This window comes from Homo sapiens, chromosome 14, assembly GCF_000001405.40.
Source record: "Homo sapiens chromosome 14, GRCh38.p14 Primary Assembly".
Lineage (NCBI taxonomy): Eukaryota > Metazoa > Chordata > Mammalia > Primates > Hominidae > Homo > Homo sapiens.
The window spans coordinates 29,005,128-29,025,827 of record NC_000014.9 but is presented as its reverse complement, the minus strand read 5'-3'; the positions used below and the strand labels follow the sequence as shown (position 1 = coordinate 29,025,827).

General features: G+C 35.1%; 2 long non-coding RNA genes across 9 annotated transcripts in view; one reads left to right on the top strand and one right to left on the bottom strand.

Annotated features, from left to right (window-relative positions):
* Positions 1-20,700, bottom strand: part of LOC107984685 (uncharacterized) — a 216,619-nt gene that overhangs the window by 162,080 nt on the left and 33,839 nt on the right. For 6 of the 7 annotated variants that reach the window (XR_001750697.1, XR_001750694.2, XR_001750699.2 and 3 more), the window contains exons 1-3: positions 17,974-18,141; positions 6,741-6,875; positions 4,476-4,548 (exon numbers count right to left, since the gene is read on the bottom strand). This is a non-coding gene — a long non-coding RNA (uncharacterized LOC107984685). Of the gene's footprint in view, positions 1-4,475; positions 4,549-6,740; positions 6,876-17,973; positions 18,142-20,700 lie in introns of those variants that run through there. The other variant, XR_007064101.1, reaches the window with a different exon arrangement.
* The window catches only part of LINC02326 (long intergenic non-protein coding RNA 2326), an 89,407-nt gene that overhangs the window by 39,228 nt on the left and 29,479 nt on the right, over positions 1-20,700 (top strand). The window lies entirely within an intron of this gene.

The following is a 20,700-nucleotide window of genomic DNA, read 5'->3' as shown; positions in this document are numbered from 1 at the left end:
GCCAATATCCCTGATGAAGATCGATGCAAAAATCCTCAAGAAAATACTGGAAAACCAAATCCAGCAGCATAACAAAAAGCTTATCCACCACGATAAAGACAGCTTCTTCCCAGGGATGCAAGGCTGGTTCAATATATGCAAATCAATAAATGTAATCCTGTCACACAAACAGAACCTAGGACAAAAACCACATGATTATCTCAATAGATGCAGAAAAGACCTTCAATAAAATTGAACACCCCTTCATGCTAAAAACACCCAATAAACTAGATATTGATGGAATATCAATGGACAAAAGCTGGAAGTAATCCCTTTTAAAACCAGCACAAGACAAGGATGCCATCTCTCACCACTCCTATTAAACATAGTATTGGAATTTCTGGCCAGGGCAATCAGGCAAGAAGAAATAAAGTGTATTCAAATAGGAAGAGAGGAGGTCAAATTGTCTCTGTTTGCAGATGACATGATTGTATATTTAGAAAACACCATCATCTCAGCTCAAAAACTCCTTAAGCTGATAAGCAACCTCAGCAAAGTCTCAGGATACAAAATCAATGTGCGAAAATCACAAGCATTCCTATACACCAATAATAGAGAGCCAACTCATGAGCAAACACCCATTCACAATTGCTACAAACAGAATAAAATACCTAGGAATACAACTTACAAGGGATGTGGAGGACCTCATGAAGGAGAACTACAAACCACTGCTGAAGGAAGTAAGTAAGAGAGGACACAAACAAATGGAAAATGCTCATGGATAGGAAGAATCAATATTATGAAAATGGCCATCATGCCCAAAGTAATTTATAGATTCAATGCTATTCCCATCAAGTTACCATTGGCTTTCTTCACAGAATTAGAAAAAACTACTTTAAATTTCATATGGAACCACAACAGAGCCCATATTGTCAAGACAATCCTACTTAAAAGGAACAAAGCTGGAGGCATCACGCTACCTGACTTCAAACTATACTACAAGGCTACAGTAACCAAAACAGCATGGTACTCGTAACAAAACAGATATATACACCATTGGAACAGAACAGAGGCCTCAGAAATAACACCACACATTGCTTGTGTGGGAATGGATTCCCACACGTTGCTCGTGTGGGAATGGATTCCCACACAATGGGGGAAGGATTCCCTGTTTAATAAATTATGTTGGGAAAATTGTCTAGCCATATGCAGAGAACTGAAACTGGACCCCTTCCTTACACTTTATACAAAAATTAACTCAAGATGGATTAAAGATTTAAACCTAAGACCTAAAACTATAAAAACCCTAGGTGAAAACCTAGGCAATACCATTCAGGACATAGGCATGGCCAAAGATTTCATGACCTAAACACCAATAGCAATTGCAACAAAAGCCAAAATTGACAAATGGGATGTAATTCAACTAAAGAGCTTCTGCATAGCAAAAGAATCTATCATCAGAGTGAACAGGCAACTTACAGAATGGGAAAAAAACTTGTGCAATGTATACATCTGACAAACGGCTAATATCAAGAATCTACAAGGAACATAAACAAATTTACAAGAAAAAAAAAACGACTCCCTCAAAAAATGGCCAAAGTTTATAAACAGATACTTTTCAAAAGAAAACATTTATGCAGCCAACAAACATATGAAAAAAAGCTCATCATCACTGGTCATTAGAGAAATGCAAATCAAAACCACAATGAGATACCATCTCATGCCATTTAGAATGGTGATCATTAAAAAGTCAGGAAACTGACAAAAAACAAGGAATGGGGAAAGGGTTCCCTATTTAATGAATGGTGCTGGGAAAACTGGCTAGCCATATGTAGAAAGCTGAAACTGGATCCCTCCCTTACACCTTATACTAAAATTAATTCAAGATGGATTAAAGACTTAAATATTAGACCTAAAACAATAAAAACCCTAGAAGAAAACCTGGGCAATACCATTCAGGACACAGGCATGGGCAAGGACTTCATGTCTAAAACACAAAAAGCAATGGCAACAAAAGCCAAAATTGACAAATGGGATCTAATTAAACTAAAGAGCTTCTGCACAGCAAAAGAAACTATCATCAGAGTGAACAGGCAACCTACAGAATGGGAGAAAATTTTTGCAATCTACAAAGGGCTAATATCCAGAATCTACAATGAACTCAAACAAATTTACAAGAAAAAAACAAACAACACCATCAAAAAGTGGGAAAAGGATATGAACAGACACTCCTCAAAAGAAGACATTTATGCAGACAACAGACACATGAAAAAATGCTCATTATCACTGGCCATCAGAGAAATGCAAATCAAAACCACAATGAGATACCATCTTGCACCAGTTAGAATGGCGATTATTAAAGTCAGGAAACAACAGGTGCTGGAGAGGATGTGGAGAAATAGGAACACTTTTACACTAGTTCAACCATTGTGGAAGACAGTGTGGAAATTCCTCAAGGATCTAGAACTAGAAATACCATTTGACCCAGCCATCCCAATACTGGGTATATACCCAAAGGACTATAAATCACGCTGCTATAAAGACACATGCACACATATATTTATTGTGGCAATGTTCACAATAGCAAAGACTTGGAACCAACCCAAATTTCCATCAATGATAGACTGGATTAAGAAAATGTGGCACATATACACCATGGAATACTATGCAGCCATTAAAAAGGATGAGTTCATGTCCTTTGTAGGGACATGGATGAAGCTGGAAACCATCCTTCTGAGCAAACTATCGCAAGGACAGAAAACCAAACACTGCATGTTCTCACTTGTAGGTGGGAAATGAACAATGAGAACACTTGTACACAGGATGGGAAGCATCACACACCAGGGCCTGTTGTGGGGTGGGGGGAGGGGGGAGTGATAGCATTAGAAGATATACCTTATGTAAATGACGAGTTAATGGGTGCAGCACACCAACATGGTACATGTATACATATGTAACAAACCTGCACATTGTGCACATATACCCTAGAACTTAAAGTATAATAATAAAAAAAGAAATTTCAAATTGAAAAATTACAAAGATTAAGCAAAAAAAAAAAGTCACGAAACAACAGATGCTGGAGAATATGTGGAGAAACAGGAACGCTTTTACACTGTTGATGGGAGTGTAAATTAGTTCATCCATTGAGGAAGACAGTGTGGTGATTCCTCGAGGATCTAGAACCAGAAATACCATTTGACCCAGCAATCCCGTTACTGAGTATATACCCAGAGGATTATAAATTATTCTACTATAAAGACACATGCACATGTACATTTACTGCAACACTATTTACAATAGCAAAGACTTGGAACCAACCCAAATGCCCATGAATGACAGACTGGATAAAGCAAATGTGCCACATATACACCATGGAATACTATGCAGCCATAAAAATAAAAGAATGAGTTCATGTCCTTTGCAGGGATATGGATGAAACTGGAAACCATCATTCTCAGCAAACTAACACAGGAACAGAAAACTGAACAGCGCATGCTCTGACTCATAAGTGGGAGTTGAACAATGTGAATACATGGGCACAGGGAGGGGAACATCACACACTAAGGCCTGTCAGGGGGCGTCAAGGGCAAGGGGAGGGATGGCATTAGGAGAAATACCTGATATAGATGACTGGTTGATGGGTGCAGCAAACCACCATGGCACATGTGTACCTATGTAACAAACCTGCACATTCTGCACATGTATCCCAGAACTTAAAGTATAATTTATGAAAAAAGAAAGAAATAAAATTCTTTATTGTCCTAATAAATGAATACATATTTATGTATAAATGTTCACATGTCATATATTTGAAGTCCGCACTGCACGTCTCTCTTTCATGGACCTTTCAAGGGGGTTTGAAATTAAAATTATAGTCCACAGACAGAACATGTTTAGTTCTGTGTTCATTCTATTCTCTATTCTGGGTATACGTACACATTTGGATACACCATCTTTCCCTTAGAACACCACTTAACTTCCTTCCGCCCACACTAATTCTTCCCAATATTGAAAGCCAGGTTAAATATTTTATATAAGAAGATTTTATTTAAGAAGACATGAAATATAACCTTTTAAAATAAAAATGTAATCACTTTTTAAGCATATTTCACCATGAAGGCAGATGCTGTTTTCTTTAATCATATGATAAGCGCACCATCCATGACCATTAACTTGGCTCTGTTGATTACATGCTCTTATTTCTCCCTTTGTATAATGACAACATATTCTCTTGATTTTCATTCTCCTTGCTAATCTTTTTTAAATATCTTTTATTGACCTCATATTTTGATCCACTCCTGTTAAGTATTATCCAAGGCTGTGTTCTACAAGTCTTGTTCTTTCATTATCTTTTGCACTTTGAGATCTTGCTACCTCACTTCTGTGTGGATGTCTTTGCCAAGGGAATATGTGCTAACCTATAGAATAAACACTGGCTCTTTATGGGGTCACCAGAGTACCATATTTCCAGGAACCCATAGACAAAATGTACTCACATTTTGATGCCATCATGAAACATGACTGGTTGACTGCAGATAAAACATCTTTGTGCTGATGGCCATTATGAATCTGTTGAATAAAAAATTGCTTGAGATGTTTATTTTTGATCATCACATCACACATTATTCTAAGATTATGTCTAAATTGTATAGTTCAAAAAAACTAAGAAAATAGATATGAAAACTCATTGAATATTTTGATGGAGAAAAACTTTCTAGACTTTACAGCAATGTTCATAAAGGAGAATTCTAGATCTGATTCCATTCAAATATAAAATATATATCTGCAAATCACAAAAACCTACAAGCAAAATTAACAAGCCAAAGAAGAACCTGAAAATATTTATAACGAACTTACAAATCAACAAACAAAATGTTAATAAGTCCCCTTACAGGAATATTCAAAGGACATGAATAATTTAGAAAAGAAGTAGTATAAATCACTAACAAACAAAATTTTTAAACCAAAGGTAATGAAGAAATAAAAATTAAAACAACAATAAAAAAACCTCTAGAAGACGCCAAAAGCTACCTTTCTAATTTTAAAGGTTTGAAATAGATGTAATGTTCAGTGCATGTATTGGGATAGGATGACAAGCATGCCCAAACACAAGCGTAACAAAGTCTTTAAAAGCATCTGTGGTATTTAACCCAATAATTCCACTTCTGAGAATCTAAGCCAATAAAATAATTAGAAATATAGTCAAATATCTATATATAAATAAACTACTCACCAAATGTTTTTAATCAAAAGAATTTAAAAAGAAACAACCTAACTGCCCAGTAATGTATAACCTAACCATATAATAAATTGCTGTGCAGTGTGTTAGTTAAAAGAAGAATTATTAAATACAGGAAAATGATTATATTAAAACATTAACAAAAAACAGAAATCTGGAAATACATAGAAACTGTCTAGACTTGTTTAGGTGCTACAATGATAGCATAGATGGTTTTGTCTAAAATGTTGAGTGTGACAATGTAACTTTCTTCCTTATTTTCCCTAGCTGTTTACATGTATTGCTTTCACTCAAAGATCTTCACTAAATATTAAAGAAGAAATTTTAGTTTTCAGAAGTAATTGATATCTAACACAGAAATCTTTAACATGTAAATCATGATGAAAGATCAGAGCAAATCAATTTACATATTTTTATCTGTGTAGAATATGGGTAAATATAGTGAGATTCTTATAAAGCAAATAGGATCGTGTCACTCCCTGCCTAACACTTCCAGTGGCTAACCAGGGCAGCTAAAATAAACTCCAAGTCTCCTAACATGTCCTCTCAAGTACTGAAAGATCTATCTCCTGCCTATTCTCATCTACTAGCCCTGTCTCCTCCACCCCTTATGTTTGCTGCTTTTCACCCACACCTCCTCATTCAGCTCCTAGGAAATACCAGACTCCTTCCCTCAATATCTTTAGGCATGCTCTTCTCTGTCTGAAATGCTCTTCCCTTTTCTTATTTCTTAGCTGACTCCCTCTCAAACTTTAGGTCTAAGCTTAAATGTCACTCAGAAAGGCTTTCTGTGAAACCAACGTAAATCTGGTTCCTTCTGCCATGCCCATTCCCTGTTTTATACATTCATAGCTCTTACCCTAATTTGGGTGGGAAAATTTTCTTAGAAAAGTCACTTAAAGGTGTTTAGAGAACAAAGGATCCAGCCAGTTGATTGAAAATCATAATAGCCTCTTTCCTTGTTAAATAGTTTGTATGCATTCCTGGCTTTTATACACTGAGTACTTTGAGAAAATGGCAGTCTCAGTACATATGAATACACAGCGCAAAAACATTGTTGATTTATAGTTTTCATGAGTGAAATGAGTGCATAGAAAGGAAAATATTGGACTTATACTTCAAAGATAACCAAATAAATAACAGAATATGCCTAAGGAAATTTGGAATTAAATAGTTGTCTATCCTTTTACTCAAGACATGTTGGATGGTGAGTTCAAATCCTTTCTAATAATAGATTATTTGATGGCTTAAAGCACAATATTTCCTAGAAGGTGAGAAGTAGCCCACCATACGGAGAACAGCAAAGGATGTTTTGGGCAGATACCTACATAAGAAGACACTCTTGGGCAGAGAAGAATCTAGTATTTGACAAATGGCAGAGGTCGATGTGTCTGATAAAATGTTGAATGATCAGGAAATTGAAATCTGATATTAGAGACAGGATTGGCCACAGAAACAAATTTAGTTAGAATTCTAAGTCTGATAGGAAATTTTAAAATGGAGAGGTGTGACAGGGCTTTACCTATAAGGAGATTCAGTTGGCTGGTCTGTGGAAGTGGACTGCAGAGCAGCAGGAAGGAGTATACAAAGGCTGGTTTGGAGGTTATTGTCATTCAGGTCGGAGATGATGGCATCCTGGCTGCTCATTAAGGTAGCCCTGTACATAGAGGAACATAGAGAGAGAGAGAATTAAGGAGAGAATTAAGGTCAATTTTGAAGAAAAGGGATTTGCTAATTGAATAAATGTGGTTGATGAAGGAAAGAAATCCCACACTGAAGTCAATGCACCTGGGTGAATGTATTAATTATACCACCTCATCTCATGACCCATCAAATCTTTAGTGCAGTTCCTTCTTAGAAGCTTTATTTTGTTAAATTTACATAGAATAACTCGATCGAAGATCCTAGTGTTTCCAATCACAGTCAGGCCTAAGATCATATAATAATTAGGTTTCAGTTAATTCTGAGACTCTAGAGACCAGCACTTGCTCATCATACCTCATATTCCTATATTGTGGCGTATCCCAAAGCACTCAACCCAAAACCCTGGATTGGCACCTTCTTTCATATATATACACACACATATACATGTATATACATACACACATATACATACACACATATACATGTATATATATACACACACATACGTATATATGTATGTATACATATCTGTATACATGTGTGTATACATATATACATATACGTATATGTGTGTATACATATGTGTGTATACATGTGTGTATACGTGTGTATACATGTGTATGTACACATATATGTGTATGCATGTGTGCACATTGTGTGTATACATGTGTATACATATATGTATATATACATATATACATACATGTATACATATATACATATATGTATATATGTATGTAGTGTATATACATATACGTATATACGTATATACACACATGTACGTATATACGTATATATACACACATGTACGTATATACGTATATATACACACATGTACGTATATACGTATATATACACACATGTACGTATATACGTATATATACACACATGTACGTATATACGTATATATACACACATGTACGTATATACGTATATATACACACATGTACGTATATACGTATATATACACACATGTATATAGGTATATATACACACATGTATATACGTATATATACACACGTATATACGTATATATACACACGTATATACGTATATATACACACATGTATATACGTATATATACACACATGTATATATACACACATGTATATATACACACATGTATATACACACACGTATATATGTATATATACACACACGTATATATGTATATATACACACACGTATATATGTATATATACACACACGTATATATGTATATATACACACATGTATATATGTATATATACACACATGTATATATGTATATATGTATATATACACACATATGTATATACATATATACACACATATGTATGTAGACATACATACATATATACAGACATATACATATACATGTATATATACATATACGTATATATACACATATACATATATACACATACACGTATATATACACGTATATACGTATATACACGTATATACACATATACATATATATACACATATATGTGTATATATATATATATAAATCTAATTTTTCAGCCATTTTATTTCCTCCAAAAACTCTCATTCTTCTTCCATCTCATTCAAACTGTGTGCATACTCTCTCCATCTATACCCAGGCAAAAATTGTCTCTCAAAAAAGCCTCTTCATCAGTGTATGCATATGTTTAAAAAACTGACTTTTTCTTAATTCAAAGATAAAATTTCAGAATTTGTTAAATCTTATGTGTAGACATTTTGTGGGACTTTGAAATTCTTCTTGTGCAACAAAGCACACCAGTGATTCTATAATACCATATGTTAAAAGCTACCTCTTCCATGAGAACACCCAGCAGCTAAATTCAGTTGTCCTCTTCATCATTACCTTACCTTTTACCACACATTTTCACAGGTTTTTTTTTTCTGCATATTATTTCATCTAATAGCAGAATATCAGGGCTTGAAGTCAGTTTAAAGATTATGAGCTAATCCAAATGTCCCAATATATACATAAGGAAGCTACATCCAAAGGAAAAACACTTTTCAAGGCCACAGTGGCTAGAAACTGTTGCACTCATATCAAGAACCTGTCTTTCAACAGGCAACACAGTCGGCCTTCTACCCGGCTGCTTCTTCCTTGAAGGCTTATCTTGAAGTGAAGGCTATGCCTACTTCTCATGCGTCTGATTTTCATTGAGCCCAAGTGTTCTCCCTAAATAAAGGCAGACAGGCCAACCAGCACAAGTATCTTTTCTATCCTATGTGGTGGCCCATAATGCAAAATGGAGAGTGGAATATTAAGATAGATTTCTTTGTCTGGAATTTCCTGGGAAGAACATTGCAGTTGCTTAACGTGCATAGTAATGCCGTGGCGACCTTGTTAACATGCAGTTTCTAATTCACTAGATCTGGGATGGGGCCTGAGATTCTGCACCGCTAACAAGGTCCCAGGTGGTGTAGGTGCTGTTGGGCTGCAGACCACGCAGAGTAGGTAGAGCACAGACTTAAGACCCTCAAAACCTGTGCCTCAGGGTGCCCTCTGCTGGCGGCAGCTGTGCAAGCAGTTTTTAGGCTCCCTGTTGGCAATCCAGGGGATAGAAAGAAGACTTAGATATTAGGTTTCTTCTCCCATGTGATGGTTAATTTTATGTGTCAACTTAGGTAGGCTATAGTGCTCAGTTGTTTGGCCAAATGCCAGGCTAGATGTTTCTTTGAAGGTATGAGATGTGATTAGTATTTAAATCAGTTGATTTTGAGTAAAGCAGATTACCTCCCATAATGTGGGTGAGCCTCATCCAATCAGTTGAAGGCTTTAAGACAAAAGACTGAGATCCTTGGAAGAAGAAGGAATTGCAAGAATAGCAGCGTGTGGGCCTGTCCGGAACATTTCAGACTTTCCAGGTCTCATAAATGCATAAATAATTTCCTTAAAATAAATGTCTCTAGATGGACAGATAGAGATATATATCTAAATCTTTCCGTATATCTACCTCAAGAGAGAGAAAGGGGGAACCAACAGACTGTGTGTGTATATGTGTGATATATATACATTCATACATATATATACACAGAGATGTATATATATATACATCTCTGTGTGTGTGTGTATATATATATATATATACACACACACACACACACACACACACACACTGTTTCCACAGCAAAAGAAACTATCATCAGAGTGAACAGACAACCTACAGAATGGAAGAAAATTTTCACAATCTATCCATCTGACAAAGGTCTAATATCCAGAGTCTATAAGGAACTTAAACAAATTTACAAGAAAAAAACAACCCCATTAAAAAGCAAGCAGAGGACATGAACATACACTTCTCAAAAGAAGACATACATGCAGCCAATAAACATATGAAAAACAGTTTAATATCACTGATCATTAGAGAAATGCAAATCAAAACCACAATGAGATACCATCTCATGTCAGTCAGAATAGCTATTATTAAAAATTCAAAAAACTATAGATGCTGGTGAAGTTGCTGAGAAAAAAGAACACTTTTACATCATTCGTGGGAGTGTAAATTAGTTCAACCATTGTGGAAGACAGTGTGGTGATTTCTCAAAGACCTAGAGGCAGAAAAAATTGACTCAGCAATGTCATTCATTACTGGGTACATACCCAGAGGAATCATTCTGCTATAAAGATACATGCACGTGTATTTTCATTGCAGCACAATTCACAATAGCACGGACATGAAATCAACTTAAATATCCATCAATGATACACTGGATAAAGAAAAGGTAGCACATATACACCATGGATTATTATGTCCTTTGTAGGGATATGGATGAAGCTGGAAGCGATTATGGTCAGCAAAGTAATGCAGGAACAGAAAACCAAACACGGTATGTTCTCACTTACAAGTGGGAGCTGAATAATGAGACCACATGGACACATGGCAGGGAACAACACACACTGGGTCCTGTAGGCGGGGGTCGGGTGGAGAGAGGGAGAGCATCAAGAAGAATAGCTAATGGTTGCTGGGCTTAATACCTAGGTGATGGGTTGGTCTGTGCAGCAAACCACCATGGCACTTGTTTACATATGTAACAAACCTGCATGTCCTATACCTGTACCTCTGAACTTAAAAGTTGAAGAAAAAATAACAAAAACTATATATTTTTTTTCTCTAGAGAGCCCTAATATATCATAATGAGATAATATCAATTTCCTAGAATAATGCTGTCATATTTTCAAGTACTGACAAATATGAAAAGTTAACACTGAGAAAACACTAAATCTGTATTTCATTCATTTACCAAATATATTTGAGCATCTATTCTGTGTGAGTCCCTGGGGATATAGATGAGAGGAATACGAAGTGCCTGCCCTCATGCAGTACATGTTCTGGTCAGGGAAACAGGCAACAGATAAGTGCACAATGAATAGAAATGCAGAAAACAATACACACCATGGAGAAAAAAAGAGAAAGATAAAAGTAGATAGTAAAGGACTTTCAGAAGAGGTAATACTTGAATGGTATTTAAACAGAGACTCTCCAAATTAATTGACATGTTTACCTGGCCAACTGATATCTGTAAGTATTCACCACGTTCGACATGATTTTCTAGAGGCTAGGGATAAAAGATAAATATTATCTGACTTTAAGAAACTTACACAGAGAAGTTGAAACACACACATCCTCAAAAAAGAGGATATTTAATAAAAGTTATACTAGAGAGGGTATCCTAAACTATAAAATGGCCAGAAGATAAACAAAGTTTGGATTGGATAAATCCTTTAAACGAGATTAGTAGTGACAGAAATATATAGTGTATGTTGGGACTCAAATCTTAAAGTAAGTTATTTTGGAGGTATACTAAATTACCTAATTAATTTTGCTTTCGGCAGTATTTCTTTGAAGATCTAATTTCAGCTCTCATATAACAAATGCTATCTAGCTATTGATCCTTCCAACTTTCAAGTCTCAACATTTGTTCCTCTGTTGTTTCTTTACGACTGGTAGCTATTAGGGCTGTCATTACACAGTTCTACTCTGATACCCATATGAAGTGCAGTACATAAAAGGAGGCATTGTTTAAGGGGTTAGAGTTTATGCTGGTTGGCCCAAATTGTAATCTTCTCTGCTTACCTCTACCTACTTATTAAGTTTTAGGCCTGGAATTTACTTTTTATGTTAAGCAAAAAGTATAAAGATAAGAAATACTATAGCTATTAAAAACAATATGTTGAGATATAAAAATGTAAGCCTTGGGGTGAAGTTTTAAATTTGAAAGTGAATGTGCTTTCTGCATAACATATAGTTATTTGCTCACCTTGTTGGGGAGAATCCAATTTGGGAGAGGTGAAAGAGAACTAATGTTTGTTAAGCTTTTTATATGTTCTTACATATCCTCACAATGTTATAGAAATGCTGGGATCTGGATTGATCTCAAGTCTGCTCAACTCTAGGTTCTGTGTTCTTCCTATACACCATGTTGTTTCCCCTAATTTGTGCAAGAAACATAATTGATCTTCTGTGTTCAGTCTAGTTTCCCTCCAATTGAGACAGAAGGACTTTTAAAAAATGCATATCTCACCATATAACCTCCTGTGCCCAACATTTAAAACTTTTCTGTGGTTTTCTATTGCCCTAAGGTTAAGGGGAAAACTCCATAATATGATCCATGAAGCTTTGCATTCTATGGTGCCAATATTACTTTCCAGTCTCTGCTTATACCCATTGTCTTTCTACTTCAACCTTACACTGGTCATTTTTTACAATCCTTCCTGCCACAGGATTTTTGCACATGTCAGATTGTATAAAATATTCTTTGCTATTCTCTTAATCTAATTAACATCCTACAGGTCCTAGTTTAGAGATCACCTCATCAAGGCAGGTAGGTAAGAAGTGGGGAATGAGTGATTACGGAAGTTTGAGAGAGAAGGCCAACCACATGCAAGGAAACTGCATGAGTCTTACTGTTTTCCATAGAGGCTATGCCAATTTACATTCTCACCAACAGTGTCCAAGGGTTCCCTTTTTCCACATCCTCACCAGCATCTATTTTTTTTTAATTAAAGCCATCCTAACAGGTGTGAGGTGATATCTCATTGTGGTTTTTATTTGCATTTCCCTGATGATTAGTGACATTGAGCACCTTTCCATATATCTGTTGGTCCTTTGCATATCTATTCATGTCCTTTTACCATTTTCTTATCTGGTTATTTGGTTCTTGTGTGTTTGCTTATTTTTGCTATTGCATTGTTGGAGCTCCTTATATATTTTGAATATTAGCCCTTTATCCAATATTCAGATTGCAAACATTTTCTCTCATTCCAAGGTTGCCTTTTAATTTCATTGATTATTTTCTTTACTGTAGAGAAACTTTAAAGTTTGATGTAATCTGCTAAACTTAAAATCCAGGTGTTTTCCCCCTGTGTTTTCTTTTAGGAGTTCTACCGTTTCAGCTCTTACATTTTAAGTGTTTATCACTCCATGTTTAGTTGACATTTTGTATGGTGTAAGAAAAGAGTCCAATTTCATTCTTTTGCATATGGATTTCCAGTTTTCCCAACACCTTTTATTGAAGACTGTTCTATCCCCATTGTGTATTCCTAGCACCCCTGTCAATAATCAGTTGACCCTATATGCGTGGGTTTATTTCTGGGCTCTATATTCTGTTCCATTGTTTTAGATGTCTGTTTTAATGCCAGTGCCACACTGTTTTGGTTATTTAGCTCTGTAATACATTTTGAAATCAGGAAATGTGATGGCTCCTGCTTTGTGAATCTTGCTCAGAATTGGTCTGGCCTATCTGAGGTTGCTTTGTGCTTCCATAAAGATTTTAGGATTATTTTTCTACTTTTGTGAAAAATACCATGAGAATTTTGGTAGGAATTGCATTTAATCTGTAGATCACTTTGGGTGGTATAGATATTTTTACAATATTAATTCTTGCAATTCCTGAACATGGGGTATCTTTCTATTTATTTCTGTGTGCTTTAATTTATTTCATCAGTGTTCTATAATTTTCAATGTAAGGACTGTTGAATTAGAGGAGTAGACATGAAGTGGAGATATTGAGATATATATGTGAAGTACTAGATTTCACCTAATGTAAGGCACATGGAGTGGACCATAGGACACAATATGTCTTTTTGTGTTACAAATAGGTAATAAAATATCTGCTAATCAAACTGGAACAATACTTTGATTGTGGCTTGTTATGATACATCCTGATTTCAGAGTTGTTAAAACATGCAGAAATATGCATCTAAAACTGATGAAAAGAGTACTTAGAGGTATTGAGTGTAGAGAGGAAAAGAGACTAAAAGAGGTTAAGAATTAGTCTTTTAGTGATAGTGGTGAAATAGAAATTGATCTTGCCAAATCAGGCAGAGAATATAAAACATGAGCCCATTTAGGGTAAAGATAGTGTTTCATTTTGGACTTGTTGAGTTTCAGGCTCTTGTAGAACATTTGTCCAAGGTAATATATAGTCTAATTGTGGAAGAAAGTCTGAGCTTGAAGTAGAGACTTGGGAATCAGGTACACATAGTTTAGATATGCTTGAAATCATGACAATGGATGAAATCTCACAGAAAGCAATATAATGATAAATAGCGGTTACATAAGGGTCAAATTGTGTGAGAGACAGAAGAAGAAAGAAAAATGGGGACAAGAAGAAGTGAGTATCATGCCATGAAAGATAAAAGAACAGAAAATCTGCAAGAGACAACATAGTCATTAATATTCACTGCAGGAATGACTGGTAAGATAAGGACTAAACTGTTCATTGGGTTGAATCACTAATGAGCTCAGCAAGAATAGTCTCTGCAGAGAAATGGGAGCAGAAGCTAGGTTGCAGTGGATGGAAGAATGAACATGGGAACATAGACAGTTGGTATGAAACCAATTGCTCAGTAAGTGTCTTTGAGAGGAAGAGAGAAAGTGGACAAAATTTGTCAGAAGAATGAAAGGAAATAGTTTTAGAGCAAGAGAAAAGTTTAGTGAAGGAAAAATATTTTTAAACTGAGGGAAAGGAACCACTAGAGAAAGAATCTGAGAGAGTAGGAGAAAGGAAGGAGTTGTTCAAAGAATGGATGTGTGCTTGACATAATTCTGAATAGCCTTAACTTCCTCCCTAAAATAGAAACAAAGTTTTTTGCTGTATGATATTGCCATTGGTAAGGGTTCTAATTATTAGAAATTAAAAACATTTTCTAACTTAATAAACAACATTTCCTATGTTTTTATATATAGGATTAAAATAGCAAAGTCCAAATAGCAAAGTTATAGTAAAAAGAGAGGGACTACTCTGATAAAGGTAGTTCAGGCAGATATGCTTTATTGCTTTCTACATTTTATTATGTTCATTCAAGGCATGAGCTATGTACTGCAAAACCAAAATCTAGAACAATAACCAAGTATTGCAGCTGAAATGGTAGCAAAGCAAAATGGCAGCATGGTTAAGAGGTCATTGAAAATGACTCACAACATTTTATCCTTTTCGTACCACCTTTTACCACACAGAGTTTCAGATGAGATAACGCAATGAATAAAATTGTTTTACCCCCAGAGAGAGCATTAAAAAATGTTCAACTGTCTACTGGAGGAATAATGGAGACTTTTTAAATTATAAGAAGGCAGCTTGATCTTTTGACTCTCTGTCATGAAATGTGAGTAATGAGACTTATTCACAAATTCTAAGAATGAAATGATAAAATAAACTTCTTAAATATAGTTAAAAATACTCTAAGATTTAAATGCTTTAATCACCCTTGAAAATTTGACTGGAAATGCATCCTCTTAAATTCTTAAAGATAGATACCCACTCTAATGTTCTTTTCCCTCTTGACAAGTAAATTCTTATTTTACACCTACTGCCAGGTAGTGAATAAAGTTTACAATGTCTGAAGAAACAATTTTGTTTTAAATAAATCCCAACTGAATATTAATGAACACATTAAAAGTGATGATCTTCCTGCATTTTTAAAATTTTATTTTATGATTAATTTAATCATTAAATAGAATATTTTATATGCAATAAAAGAATATTTTGCAACAACAGTATTCAATACTGAAATGCTTTTACAAACAGTGGCTAAATATTAATTTTAGCACCTTTTGCAAAAGATTAATATTTATTCAAAATTAGATTTTCAAAAATCTATTTAAGCTGTTATAAATATTGGTTAAAAGACCATGGTTGAGAAGTCACATTATTTAATCCATTGAAGGTGACAGCTGTGAATTACATAAATGTGTAGTTATGGACTTTTGATCATTTATTACTTGTTTACCAGCCTGTAATGGCTTTGAATAGTCCACTGTGTAAGCACATATTTAATAATTTCAAGGACTGTATTTTATTATTTGGCATACTTTGTACCAAAGCATGATGAAAAAGGTGTTTTCTTAGTACTATTCTGGGGCCATTGCAGGTATTCACAAGTGATTCTAAAACATATTATTTACTAGTGTGAGGTTTGAGAATTTGTATGTTTCCAAAGTATGCATTGCTGCCCCTGTATAAACTCTATGGAGGTTTTTTCAGATGTACTTTTCTAGGGAAAAAAATCTTATTCCTATATTTTTCAACCTTACCTTTACCTTTGACCTTGCCCTAGACTGTCTTCTTGAAAAAAAATATAGTCTTGACAGCAGCAATTACTTAATTGCCACCTCATTTCCTGTTTTTCCTGTAACTCTGATCTCAGAAAGATGTCTCCACCTGTACCACTGGCATCCTATTTCTTAGTTCACGGATAGCTTCCACCTTCTAAAGTCTAGACTTTCAAGTACCTCATAGCACTGAACTAATTACCACTATGCTGTCTATCACCATATATCACTTCAATTTCTGAGTTTGTTTTAGAAGACTAAATATTCTTTTCTCACAATTTGCCATTCTTCCTGTCTCACTCTTTTATTGTTTTAACAGAGCCTGCATTCTCTAATTCATATTGTAAAAATTGTCCCAACTTACTATTAACTCATTTACCTTAGTAACTGGGATTTGTGCATAAATGAAAAAAAAATGGCTTTAGGAATTTATAAGTACACATAATACTACAGAAGTTTAGAGCTGTACATAATCTTGCAGGTCATCTATTGAGACTCTCATTATTATTATTGAGACATCTCTTAGTGGAACGCTAAGGCAAGAAAACTCAAGTGACCTTGATCCTACTGATGACAAATGACAACACTAGGACTAAAGTTTAGGTCTTCTTAGTACTTCATTGTGTCTGCTGTGGTTATTTATTATCACATAATAAATATGTGCAAGTGGCATAGGATGTCACTAGAGAAGGAGATTCAGACCAGACTAAAAAATGTCTTGCATATGCATTATTTTCATATACTACATGTTATGTGGCCTAAGATACATTTGATTGCTAAATACCCTGTATTTGTGTGTGCATATATATATATATATATATATACACACACATATATATAAATAGGGAGAGAGTGCGCAAAACTTAACACACATATAGCAGTAATAGTTCAAATTAGTATAGAATCTTGAAATAAATTGCATTGGCATTAGCAGTACCATCTAACTTACCTTCCATTAATTTTTCTGTTAATTTTAATAAGTAACCATACGTAATTAACTGATAATCAAATTTTACATTTACGTCTTGACAAAGTAATGTTACTAAGCTGAAAACATAAACACACTGGTTTAAATTTGTGTTGCTGCCTCGCATAAAATGATATAAAACAACATTTACTAAAGGCAATGGAAAATCATGATTGCTGTGCTCAAGTAAAAGTTTTGGAATTTAAGAAGCACTTAGTTGGTGCATTAGGCCATTTAGGATGTTTCAACGTCTCAATTGACTGTAATTCCTATCTGCTCAAGTGCCCTGTTAATGACCTTCCATCTCCAAGTAAGCAGAGGAATTCAATGTTTATACTTTAAAAAAAAAGAAATCTCTACCACAAACAGATTGAAGGACAGGTTCTTTTCATTCTATCTTCACTATGACAGGAGAGAGTAAATTGTTACCACTACATCAATTGAGAGAAGCTTACCTTTAGTGGCTCTTAATGAAAGCCCTCATTGACAAAACAAAATCAACACACCCAGGTATAAGGAAGCCACTTGAGTGTTTTCTATTTCTTATTGTCTAACAGTGAGTAATTATATTTATAAGGTCTAAACAAGCAATGAAATTTACCCACACTTACACTTTAACTTTGGTGACATGTAGCAAACAGTTAGGTCTCTAGGCTTCCTGTAGAGATGTCACTCCAACATATAAATATATTCAGATTTCCATGCAGAGACAAAAAGTCCTAGTACTGGGATGCTGCTACAAAGAAGTTTCTTCTTTGATCCCATGCCTAAAATAATTTTGGAACCTAAAATACACCAATATCTAGATGAATTGGTACCAAATTAAGAAAGCAGAAAAACTTGTTTTATCTTATCTTAAAGTAGAGAAAAGAGGCAGCAGCTAACCATTAAAACTTAAGGTAAAAGACCACTGTGTCTCAGAGGTACGTTGAGATGTTGAATTTAACATCAAATAAACGATTAACAACAAACACGAGGCACCTGATATCATCTTTCTTTGTAAGCATAAAAAAGGCATTTTGTGGCCAGGCATGGTGGCTCACACCTGTAATCCCAGCACTTAGGGAGGCCGAGGTGGGTGGATCATGTCAGGAGATTGAGACCAGCCTGGCCAACATGGTGAAACCCCATCTCTACTAAAAATACAAAGATTTGCAGGGTGTGGTGGTGGGTGCCTGTAATCCCAGCTACTTGGGAGGCTGAGACAGGAGAATCGCTTGAACTGGGGAGGTGGAAGTTTCAGTGAGCCGAGATTACGCCATTGCACTCCAGCCTGGGTGACAGGAGCAAAACTCCATCTCAAAAAAAAAAAAAAAAAAGGCATTTTGTATCTCCTATCTCCTAATATTTTTATTCTCAGATAATTTTTTGTTTCCAGCAGTGTGCAATATGATCCTTCTAACCTACAGAAAGAGTATTCCATCTTATTTTGTATGATGTAATTTTTATATTCAGAATATAAATATATTGAAGCAAAATATCAGAATAATGACATTAATGTCTTGAACTATTTTAAAAAATCAAACAAAATATATAAAATTATATATTATTTCAGTTACAGTATTTTCCATGGATTTAAACTGACATAATGCAATTTTGTTATAGTATCAATAAATATTCCTTTGAGCAGAACGCAGATTTATTTTGATAGCAGCCATTTTCCCTGTATTTTAAAATAAATAAATAAATAAACCTGAATGGCAAAAATACAAGGATTCCTTTAGGAATCATCTCAAATCAGAAGAGATTAAGTCAGACAGGTCTTTTCACTGACTGAATTGTGTGTTTTCCTCTACACTACAAATAAAAGTACATTTTTAAAAATGCAAGACAATGAAAAAGATTGTCACAAGAAAGTTTTACACAAATTAATGCTAGCCATATGGACAAAATAAAGTTTTTCAAGGCATCATGTCAAACAGCTGCCAAATTTTCACCTGATGGGGTAAGAGGAAGCTGATCTGTGTTGCTGGAGAGGGGGGATGAAGGATTGGGTAGGGAGGACATGCTGGGGAGAAGGAGAAAAAGGAGCAGGTGGCGTAGGATGTCACTAGGGAAGTAGGTTCGGACCAGACTAGAAAAAAATGTCTACATGATGTGAAGTTTCTGAGGCTTAGATTTTATCTTGTAAGTCACAGGGACCAGTGGTGGTTTTTCAAGCTGGAGAGTAATTCTTGGCTTTGATTCTTCACTGTCTCATATTCCACCAGTAAATAGGAAGTGTCATGAAGAGAATGTCTCTATAATTTACAGGGTTTAATGAATATTTTAGAAGTGGATATTCTCATGGTTGTTGGAAGGATTTAAGTAGAACTGGAAGTAATCAAGGAAAGCAAAGGAAGGATATCTTAGTAGGAAAAGTGACTTGTGCAAAATCTGATAAAAGTAGACACATACGCATTTCAGCAGTAAGAATCAGAGGTGGGCTTGAGCAGTCAGTGGTACTCTGAAACAGTGTTTAAGAGCACAAGCTTTGGAGTCATCTACTTGAGTTCAGATTTCAGCCCCAACACATGCTCTAGTTGAATAAACTTGAGCAAAGTGTCAGAATTACTCTGGCTGCTTTATGTGAATGAAAAAGAAAGAAAGACAATGAGGAAAAGGGCAAGAAGAGAGTGGAAAAGAAAGGAAGGGTAGGAAAGGAAGGAGAAGGGAGGGGAGGCAAAGGGACAAACTTATGCACAGATGTGGAGTAACTAAAGGACTCAAATGGTACGTCTTGCAACAATGGGCAGGAAGCTGGCAACGCTCACGGATTTGTAGTAAAAATAATATGTCGTTAGTTTTAACCAATTGCCTTCTGTTCTACAATTATATTATTTCTAATTTTCATTTTTATGGGTGTATATAAAATTGCATCTCTATATCACACATTTTACCCTAAAATACTAATAAATATGGAATTACTGCATTATAAATACTGTACCATTTAAAACTTTTGATACATATTACCAAATTTAAATTTCAGAAAATTGTTGTCAAGTTACTCTTCCATCAATATATGAGTGACCAATTTCTTTTTTTTTATTTTTTTTATTTTATTATTATTACACTTTTACAGTTTTGGGGTACATGTGCACAATGTGCAGGTTAGTTACATATGTATACATGTGCCATCCTGGTGTGCTGCACCCATTAACTCGTCATTTAGCATTAGGTATATCTCCTAATGCTATCCCTCCCCCCTCCCCCAACCCCACAACAGTCCCCAGAGTGTGATGTTCCCCTTCCTGTGTCCATGTGTTCTCATTGCTCAATTCCCACCTGTGAGTGAGAACATGTGGTGTTTGGTTTTTTGTCCTTGCAATAGTTTACTGACAATGATGATTTCCAATTTC